Below are 11,401 nucleotides of genomic sequence, written 5' to 3' on the forward strand. Positions count from 1 at the left end.
AAGAGGATACAAACAAATGGAAGAACATTCCATGCTCATGGGTAGGAAGAATCAATATTGTGAAAATGGCCATACTGCCCAAGGTCATTTATAGATTCAATGCCATCACCATCAAGCTACCAATGACTTTCTTCACAGAATTGGAAAAAACTACTTTAAAGTTCATATGGAACCAGAAAAGAGCCCGCATCGCCAAGTCAATCCTAAGCCAAAAGAACAAAGCTGGTGGCATCATGCTACTTGACTTCAAACTATACTACAAGGCTACAGTAACCAAAACAGCATGGTACTGGTACCAAAACAGAGATATAGATCAATGGAACAGAAGAGAGCCCTCAGAAATAACGCTACATATCTACAACTATCTGATCTTTGACAAACCTGTCAAAAACAGGAAATGGGGAAAGGATTCCCTATTTAATAAATGGTGCTGGGAAAACTGGCTAGCCATATGTAGAAAGCTGAAACTGGATCCCTTCCTTACACCTTACACAAAAATTAATTCAAGATGGATTAAAGACTTAAATGTTAGACCTAAAACCATAAAAACCCTAGCAGAAAACCTAGGCAATACCATTCAGGACATAGGCATGGGCAAGGACTTCATGCCTAAAATACCAAAAGCAATGGCAACAAAAGCCAAAATTGAGAAATGGGATCTAATTAAACTAAAGGGCTTCTGCACATCAAAAGAAACTACCATCAGAGTGAACAGACAACCTACAGAATGGGAGAAAATTTTTGCAATCTACTCATCTGACCAAGGGCTAATATCCAGAATCTACAATGAACTCAAATAAATTTACAAGAAAAAACAAACAACCCCATCAACAAGTGGGCAAAGGATATGAACAGACACTTCTCAAAAGAAGACATTTATGCAGCCAAAAGACACATGAGAAAATACTCATCATCACTGGCCATCAGAGAAATACAAATAAAAACCACAGTGAGCTACCATCTCACACCAGTTAGAATGGTGATCATTAAAAAGTCAGGAAACAATGGGTGCTGGAGAGGATGTGGAGAAATAGGAACACTCTTACACTGTTGGTGGGACTGTAAACTAGTTCAGCCATTGTGGAAGTCAGTGTGGCAATTCCTCAGGGATGTAGAACTAGAAATACCATCTGACCTAGCCATCCCATTACTGGGTATATACCCAAAGAATTATAAAACATGCTGCTATAAAAACACATGCACACGTATGTTTATTGTGGCACTATTCACAATAGCAAAGACTTGGAACCAACCCAGATGTCCAACAATGATAGACTGGATTAAGAAAATATGGCACATATACACCATGGAATACTATGCAGCCATAAAAAATGATGAGTTCATGTCCTTTGTAGGTACATGGATGAAGCTGGAAACCATCATTCTTAGCAAACTATCGCAAAGACAAAAAACCAAACACCACATGTTCTCACTCATAGGTGGGAATTGAACAGTGAGAACACGTGGACACAGGAAGGGGAACATTACACACTGGCGACGGTTGTGGAGTGGGGGGAGGGGGGAGGGATAGCATTAGGAGATATACCCAATGTTAAATGAAGAGTTAATGGGTGCAGCACACCAACATGGCACATGTATACATATGTAACAAACCTGCACGTTGTGTACATGTACCCTAAAACTTAAAGTATTAAAAAAAAAGTTAAAATACAAAAAACAAAAAAGAAAATAGGGCTTCTTCATTAAGATGCAACTTTTATCTGATGGAATATTGTCTTGATAGAGCAAAAACACTTGTTGCCATCTGCTAGAACATTATATTAATAACTCAGCCAACTATGTGAATGATGGCCTCTAGGGTTACACAGTGCACATTGCACAATTGTATCCAATTATCCTTCAAAAGCACAATGACAGCAAACAGCAAATGGAGCAGCCTACCTGGGTCAATTTCTTTGGAGTCATTGGGATTAAGAGGAGTAGAGTTGTATCCTTTAGATGTGTCAAAGGGCAAAGACAAGATGGAAAGCCAGAACTTGAGTCTCAGTATTACAGGATACACAGAAAATAAGAGCTAAATATGGGACCAAATGGGGGACTAGGATATTGAAGTTGCCAAAAGCCAGGAGTTGGGTAGACAAATGTAATTCATTTATGCAGAAATTTTGAATAAGGAATGTAGCTTGCCCATTTATCCCTGAATTCCATCTTTGCTCAGCTACTGCTGCAGCCATCTCCATTCTTTCCCCACTCTCCTGAGTCATTTCCACCAGCAGACCCACCTGTTGTAATCCCGTCTTACAAATTCCTCCCTTGATCCCACGTCTTTTAGATTCTGCCACATTTCTCCACTCCCTTTTATAGCAAAAGTCCTCCAAATAGTTGCCTGTATGTACAGTTTCTACCTTCACACTCTTGAAAGCATACCAGCCAGCAAAATCTTTCTTAGGAAGTCAGCAATGACCTGCATGTTGCCAATCAAATGGATCCACTCTTAGTCTACATGTTCTTGAACCATCATGTGTAGTTAGCATATCTGACCACACTCTCCTTGGAACAATTTATTTTTAAACTTCTCAGCCACCACAGTCTCCTACTTTTCTTCCTGTTTCGTCGATCCTTTCCTTCTCAACTTCCTTTCCTGACTTCCCCTGCTCTACTTCACCTCAAATTTTGGGGTACTCCAGGATTTGTGTCTGGCCCTTTTCTACTCTCTGCATACATTTTCTCCAGTAATTCCATCTCAATCACTTTCTAAGTGATTTCATCCAGCTTTGTAGCTTTAAAATATCACTCATGATTAACTCCCAAGTGTATACACCTGGCCCACACATGGATTCCCTACTGCCTATGTGCCCATGTAACAGGCATCTCAAATAGCCCAGCAGGCAGGGGACTGGACACAGTACTAATTGCAGCCTGTGCCCTATTTTTCAACCACTCTGGCAATACTGGTGAAGGAATGAATAATAATAATAACAATATTCAGTGCTTACTTTGTCCTGGGTACTTTACATATAAAAATATTTAATCCTCATAGCAAATCAATTAGGTAACATCATTATTTTCATCTCTGATTTACATAAGAGGAAATCGAGGCTCAGAGAGGTTCAAGCCCAATGGGCAGGGCCAGTGTTTGAATGGAATAATCAGAAATTAGCAAACATTTTTTGTAAAGGGTCCATTCATAAATATTTTCAGCTGTGTGGTGCATTCTGCCTCTATTGCTATAACTCACATTTGCTCTTGTAGTGTGCAAAGCAGTCACAGACAATATGTAAATGAACACAAAGTTGTGTTCCAGTAAAACTTTATTTATGAAAACCAGTGGTGAGTCACATTTGACCCACATGTGACCCACTACCTGATTTCATTAATAAAGTTTATGAAACTTTATTTATGATTGTAATAAAGTAGTAGATTGCCAACCACTGCTTGAAACCATTATTCTTGTATTGCTTGGATTAAATGAATGACTGAACAAGTGAAAGGACCAATGAATGAATGAATGACTCCTCTTTGGTCTCCTCAATCCTCTCATGGGTATTCAGAAGATTGTTACAGAATCACATTACTACCAAGGGTGAAAACACCACAATCTGTCTTTAGGGTGAAATGAGGAATACATGAATGACAAACCTTACAGGTTTACTGTTTCGGCTCCTGAGTTGGGTCAGGTCAGCAGTGTTCTAGCTCCCTGAGGCTCTACTTCTATGACAAAGAACTGCAAACTATAACTTTCTATTTGGGGATCCTTTTCCCCCTAGGGGAAAATATATGTGAAAAGAGCTTGAAATGATTGTGGAAAGAGCTTGACTTTGGAGTTAGACTAAGTTCACATATCATGAGCTTGACTTGGAGTTAGACTAAGTTCACATATCATTTTTTTCCCGCTTTTTAACTTCTCTGAGGTTCCATTTCCTGATCTGTAAAATAGGGATAAGAATACATATGCTGCAAGATTGTATCAGTACTGAAAGGGGTTAGGGTTCATTTGCCCAGCATAGTGTCTTGATCTGGTAGGTCCTAATCACAAATAGTAGCCACCGTCGTTAAGTCCTATCATAACCCTTTAATAACCACTTTAAGGGACAGCAGTATGTAGGGCTGCTCAGAAAGCAAAATGTCTGTCTAGAGTGAATTTAATTACAACATCAACTTGCATCCTCACAGCAGCAACTTCACATGGGGATTGTTCGTCTGCACTGGTGGATTTCTGATCTCTAGTAGCGCTGAGGTAAATGTACAAGGCTCTAAAGTTCCCATAAGCACATTTTCTCAGGTCAGTCTTTGCCATTTAAATGCAAAGCATGCAATCCTCCCTCCCTCAACACACACACCAGAGAATTTCTCTATTTATTATGTTTTACGTTAATTTGCCATTGTTTGGGAGTACACAAGGTGTGACAGCCTGATTACTAAGTCAGATTGTATATGTGTGTGTGTGTGTGTGTGTGTGTGTGTGTGTGTGTGTGTGTATTTGAGATGGAGTCTCCCTCTGTCACCCAGGCTGGAGTGCAGTAGTGCAATCTTGGCTCAATGCAACCTTCACCTCCCAGGTTCAAGCAATTCTCCTGCCTCAGCCTCCTGAGTAGCTGGGATTATAGGTATGTGCCACGACACCTGGCTAATTTTTGTATTTTTAGTAGAGACGGGGTTTCACCATGTTGGGCAGGCTGGTCTCGAACTCCTGACCTCAAGCGATCCACCTGCCTCAGCCTCCCAAAGTGCTAGGATTACAGGAGTGAGCCACCCTGCCTGGCCAGATAATATTTTTTTATTACAAAATAACACCGGGATAAGTGCTATTGTTACTTTCAGCTTCTCCTCTTTAATATTGAAATTCACTCAGAAGTTAATTGGTTGACAGAAGAGCTAATCACCCAAGAGGAGTGTTTGAGCAAGGGTATTCTTCCTCTGGTGGTTGGCTGTGAGGCTGGGGAGGAAAGCATTACAGGTGTTTTCCATGGTTGCCAATTTCCCTAATGTCTTGGGTGCTGCAAACTGATTTTCCTCTGCCAGCACTTTTAGTTTACAAGATGATTCTTGCATAAAACCCTGCTGGTTACATTTATGAGAACATATGCAAAATTAAACCAGTGACCCAGTAGTCAAATAAAATTTCCCATAAATTGTTGAGCTTGTTCTTTGCTTTTCTTAAAGCAAATGAGCACTTTGTCTATTAATTTTCCAAATAAATGCTCTTGTAACAAATATAAGCTTTATGGGTCCAGAATGGGGTGCAAGCAACAAAACTGCACCCTCCCAGTGAGATCAAAGACCTCCCTCTGTTTACTGGACACAGGTTAGGGCCCCCATGCCTGGTTCTACTAACACAGGCCCAGCATCTGTGGCAGCACCTCGGGACATTGCTTACTACGCCAGGGCTCAGAATAAATTGGACATAAGGTCTCATGATAATTTCACTTCACCCAGGCAGGACTCAGGTAGAACCTGCTCCATATGGTGACTTGTGTTAAGCAAATAAGATGCCTTATTTAGCACCAACAGGAGCCTCTGCATTTCTTCCTGGGTGCACTAGTAAAGAACACAGATGTCAGTCAACACTCTGTTAAGATACTGGGGGAAGAGAGAATGAGAATATAAATGCATAGAATGTCTTTAATTGTGCTATCCAACCAGATTTTTCACAGAACTTTTGGCTCATGGTAAAATCTTGGGATTCTACCATTCTAGTCACTTTTGAGGAGTTCTTGCATTTGTTGTTACCACCATCATCATTATCAATCATTTAATGAACTAACCTGTAAGGTGTTATGGCAGGAACTGTGGAGGATCCCCAAAAAGAAATAGGAGACATAATCCTTGCCAGAGATCCCATCCTCACCTAGGAATGGCCATTGCTGAGTGGGGGCTGGGGAGGCTGCAGGAAGATGATAGTGAGAAGGGAGCTCTTTAGCTCCTTGAACTCAGATAATTTGGGATTTTGGGACATATCTCCAAGAATCCTATTTACGCAGAACACACATATCTCTTTGGAGACCTGGGTGGGGAAAAGGGGACTGTGGTACTGGTGAGTCAGGGTTCTAAGCCCTTGAGTATTTCTAAGGCTGTTGAATGAACACCAAAGTGAAAGAAATATCTCTAGTGTGAGGCAGCATATCCCGTGTATGTAGGTGTGCCCATGGGTGGCACCCAGCAGGAAGCTACATTCTGGCATTTGCTATCTGGCATTTGAGTCTATACCTGATGGTTAGGGACTAGCCTACTGCAAACAATGCTTTGATCATGAATCAGCCTCAAGTTGGCCTGGGGCCTTTTCCTTCATTCAGTTTTTCATAACATTTCCTACATCTCGCACAGAAAGATAAGACTTTCAGGTGCCTTTTACAGCAGGGAGCTGATGTGCTCAAGCACAAGAGTAGAACGTTTCCCAGCCGTTCACCCTTAGAACTAACTTTGAAATGACAAGTTCTTTCTTTTTTTTCATTTTTTCTATCTCAGCATTTATAATACTTCCTTGCACTTCTGATTTTAATCTTTCTAATAGATTATACACTTCTTGAGGACAGGAACTATACCTGTTTTCTCTGCTGTATATTCTGATTTTGACCTTCTTTCTAATAGATTATAAACTTCTTGAGGACAGGAACTGTACCTCTTTTCTCCACTGTATAGACCCAGTGCCTAGTAGAGGGGAATCCTCTTCCTCCCATTCAGTATGAATTAGCATTTAGGAAGCCTTCCCAGAATATGTAAAGGAGGCACTTCAGCCCCATTCTCCCCGATTCTTCTCGACAAGTGAATATTTCTACATTAGGACATGCAATTAAATGTGCACATGTACCCTAAAACTTAAAGTATATTAATAATAAAATTAAAAAAATCAATCAATAAATAAAAATAAATAGATAAAAATTAAATGTCAGCATGAATTGAGGAAACAAGGAATGCATTGATTCTTGATTCTAAAATTATCATATGGCAATAGCATGGCTTTGCTTTCATAGTAAGCTTGATTAATATTAATCAGCTTCTCTCTCCAGAATGCATTTCAATTAATGGAAGGAGAAGAAACTCTCAAGTGTATTGGATGAGGGACAAACTGGACTGTTAACGTTTCAACTGAAGAATTTACAAGTATGTGAAAATCTACACTATATATGCCTTGATAGAATACATGTTTACTATTTTCAATATTTATTGGCTGTTTACAGTGTGCCAAATAGTTTCTTGACAGGATGTTCCCTGAATAAGCCTATAATTTACTTTAGGTGTTTGACTATGGATGTAATTTAATGTGACAGGACAGAAAAATGACTCCATTAATCAGATTGATGTATTTGTAAATTAAAATAAATAAATCAGGATTTATGCTCCTATAGTACATTTATTATAAATAAATATTAGGAGTCTACATGTAGACTACATTAAAATAATAAATATTTTAAAGAAAAGGTCATACAAAAAGTTCACTTTCAAGTTATTTAGCTTACAGAGTTTGTCCTAAATCTTCCCATAACTAAAGAATATATTCAATATGTAGGTTGTGTTTTCTTTGGAATTTGTTGTGTTAAATGATTAGTAATTGAAACAGTACAGAACTTCCTTTGCTTTGAAGTATGTATATGTCTGGGCATATTTCTGCTGTCGTAGTTTAGAGTGATTTTTCCCCCCTTTGTTCTTACATGATTACTGCAGAATTTTTTTTTTTTAGTAAGAGAAGCTGGTTGCAAGTCCAGCAATAAAGTAGGCAAAGTAGAACTTTCAGTGAAAAACAAAATTCGCTTCTATGTGATTGACCAGAAGGAGGCTCCCTTCCACCTCAATGTGTAAAGTTAGAACAAAAGCTTCTAAACTTACATCTTCCCAGGCAGCTTTAGTTTTTCCCAAGCTGTATCTGTTGTTGGGGGTGGTAGGAGGGGGCACCCTGAAATTTTCCCTGGAGGAACAGAATTTAAAGATGCATCACTGGCAAGAAGGCTTCAGCAATTGCAAAGTACCCTACCTTCTACCAGCTCCTTCACATAATTTTCTCTCTTGGTTGAATAACTATGGAAGTAGAATGATACTTACTAGAGACTGGCAACAGTGTATGGGGGAGGGAGAAGGGATCAAGAAAGGTTGGTTAATGGGCACAAACATGCAGTTAGATAAAGTTCTAATTTTGGATAGACTAGGGTAACTACAGTGAAGAATAATGTATTGTATATTTCAAAACAGCTAGCTGAGAGGACTTGAAATGTTCCCAACACATAGAAATGATAAATGCTTGAGGTGATGGACATTCTAAATACCCTGACTTGATCAATACATATTCTGTGCATTTAACAAAATATCACAGGTACCCTATAAATATGTGCAAATATTATATATCAATTAAAAAATGAAATTCTCCTCACTAACTTTGAATATCACATTATTCCTTAACTTTGTTGCTACAGTATTGTTTTTTCAAACTTGTTCTTGAATCTCTAATACAATATTTTAAAAATTAATTTTTTGGAATGAATCAAAGCAGTTGGATTTTAAAAAACATATAGTTGCGGCTGCTACTTACCTATTTGTGTTAGTCTCTGTATCTATAAGAAACACTTCTCGTGTTTGTAACATAGGATAATCACAATTCACTCCAAATGCTCTAATTACATTGCATTTTCCAATGAAGAAGATACCAGGAGATTCTGAATGTTGAACAGTAAGTCCAAAATCTTTGGAGAGTAAAGAGGGATGTGAAGATGCACTCGTCACTGCAGGCACATTGTCCACCATAAGATGTCACGAGATCATTTTCAATCAATTAATCTTCCTGTTGTTGTCCTTCATGGTCAAGAAAGGCAATTTGTGTGTTTATTGCAAAAACAGCATTGTTGCTCTTTTGAAAAGCCTTGCCCTTTAACAACAGAGCAGAGCTGGTTATGAAATAGCCAACTGTGACTAATTTTGGAGGAGTAACATCTCAAATAAATTGTCTTCTGGAGATGCTGATGGAGTCAGTGAACAGCAGAATGATGATGAGTTTATCTGTGCTAATTGTGCCTTTGAGGGTTTGTTCATACGCAGGGTACAGAGCAGATTGGTGCTGTACTTTAAACCTCTGATTGGCATGAAGATTCTGGTTTTGGAGAACTATGGAAGGAAGAATAATGTTCCCCAAGGATGTCTGTACCAAATCCCTGCAACTTATGAATATGTTACATTACATGGCAAAAAGAGCTTTGCAGAGGTAATTAAGGTGTGGTATTAAAATGGAGAGATTATCGGGGGGGACTCAATTTAATCACATAATTTTTAAAAGCAGAGAATGTTCTCCAGATGGAGGAAGATGTAGTGGAAAGAAGGGTCAGAGAATTCAGAGAGTGACAAGTATTTGATGCACTCTTTCTGATTTTGAGATCTAAGGGGTCACATGTGAGGACTGGAGAGAAGCCTCCAGAGCTAATGATGGCCACTGATTGAGGGCCCGCAAGGAAACAGGGACCTCAGTCTTACATCCCCACAGAACTGAATTCAGCCAACAACATGAATTAGCTTGGATTAAATTTTCCCTCAGTACCCCCAGTAAAGAATGTAGCCCTGCCAACATCTTGATTTCAGCCTGCTAGTACTCATGTTAGATGGATACCCTACAGAAACTGTGATAATAAATTTGTGTTGTTTTAAGTCACTAAATTTGGGTATTTTGTTACAGTAGCAGTAGAAAACTAAAACATGGGAAATGTTTTGAGGGAAATGATGCTTATATTGCATTATTACTTTGCTGTAGACTATTATGATAAACCATGGCTTTGTGAATTCAGTTCAATGACTCTAGGCTTTAGCCATGCAGTATTAACAAATGGGATATTAACAATATTAACAAATGGGATAAAAACCAAGACTTTACAAATGTGTTAGTTTCCTATTTCTGTTTTAACAAATCACACAAACTTACTGGCTCAAAACAAAATAAAAGCATTAATTTATAGTTCTGTAGATCAGAAGTGTCATTGGGCTAAAATCAAGGTGTCAGCAGGGCTGCATTCTTTCTGGAGGCTGTAGGGGAGAATTTCATTGTCTTGTTTAGCCTCTAGAGAATGCCTGTATTCCTTGGCTTGTGGCCCTTTCTTCCACTTTCATTTTCAAAATCAGCAGCATAACGTGGACAAATGTCTTACTTCTACCTCCCTCTTATAAAATATTTTTTTGATTGCATTATTGGGTCCACCTGGATAATCCCAGACACTCTCCCCGCCTCGCCTTAACTTAATCACATTGCAAAGTGCCTTTTGCTATTTAAGGTAACATATTCATAAGTTTGGAAGTTTTAGAGCATAGATGTCTTTGGGGGGGCCTTTATTTTATTTTATTCTGCTTACCACAGTAAGTGTTTGCATGTTGGGTTAATACTGTTGAAATACTCACTATTACAATGCTCTTTCTTGGAACCAAATTGCTGTGCTGTGAGAATTTAAGTAACAACGTACAATGGCCTCTATAGAGTAGAAGAACCAAGACCTCTTGCCAACACATCCAACTGAGCTCCCTACCAGCAGCCAACAGTAGTGCCTACTATATAAGTGAGAGCACTGTAGACCTTCCAGCTAGCTCATTGCCCCAGTCATCAGCACAGAAGCCGAAATGTCTAGTCAACACACAGAACCATGAGAGATAATACATGTTTGTTGTTATTTTAAGCTCCTGAATTTTGGGAGTAGTGTGTTATACAACAAAGAATACTTAAAATAACACTGTAGCCTGTTTTGTAAGTGAGCTAACTATTAGAAATTAAAGAATTCTGCTTAGAGTAATATAGGTTCTTCTATCACATATTCAGGATTAAATTGATGACATAGGTCAAAATATGTAAAGTCCTTAGCACAGGGAATGGGCACATAGCAAGTTCGCTGAGATATTAGTTACTTTTTCCCAGACAATCTTTTTGCTGCAGAGATTACCACCTACCACTCCAATAAAAAGGAGATGATTCCTTTCTGTTAGGTATATATTTAATTTCATACGTAACACAATATAGTATATTGTCTAATAATTTTACTTGGTGGTCTGTGATTTAAAGTTATGAAGCCTTAACTGAACAATACTTATTTGCTCCAAAAAATCATTTCTCTGAAAATATAACATCATAACTAAATTTTATAATATAAAGTAGAGCCTTGCATTTCATATTGTTTAATTACTCTGTCACATAAGAATCTTAGAATTTTTCTTAGTTTGTTCAATTGCTGTAAATGACTTCTGAAAGTAATATAATTATAACTTGTAATGGTAAATGCATTCATAGAATTCATGGAGCAAGCTGAATATGTAACTGTTCATTTGGAACTGAGTTGATTACCATTTGAAAACAGTTAATGGAATAGCTGATTAGAATACATTGCAAAGAATCATGATTTAATTTTACATCACCTAGAAAAAATCTGATGCCATGCGTGTTAATGGCAGTTTTGAGGGACATAAGGATTGACATATTTTCCTGAGC

The 11,401-nt window shown here is 38.4% G+C and overlaps 1 long non-coding RNA gene across 2 annotated transcripts in view; it reads left to right on the top strand.

The window, feature by feature from the left end:
• LOC105369853 (uncharacterized) overlaps nt 1–7,052 on the top strand; it is a 29,698-nt gene extending 22,646 nt beyond the window's left edge. For both annotated transcript variants that reach the window (XR_945118.2, XR_945119.1), the window contains one exon: nt 6,969–7,052. This is a non-coding gene — a long non-coding RNA (uncharacterized LOC105369853). The remainder of the gene's footprint in view (nt 1–6,968) is intronic.
• The last annotated feature ends 4,349 nt before the right edge of the window (nt 7,053–11,401 follow it).

This window comes from Homo sapiens, chromosome 12, assembly GCF_000001405.40.
Source record: "Homo sapiens chromosome 12, GRCh38.p14 Primary Assembly".
Taxonomy (NCBI): Eukaryota; Metazoa; Chordata; class Mammalia; order Primates; family Hominidae; genus Homo; species Homo sapiens.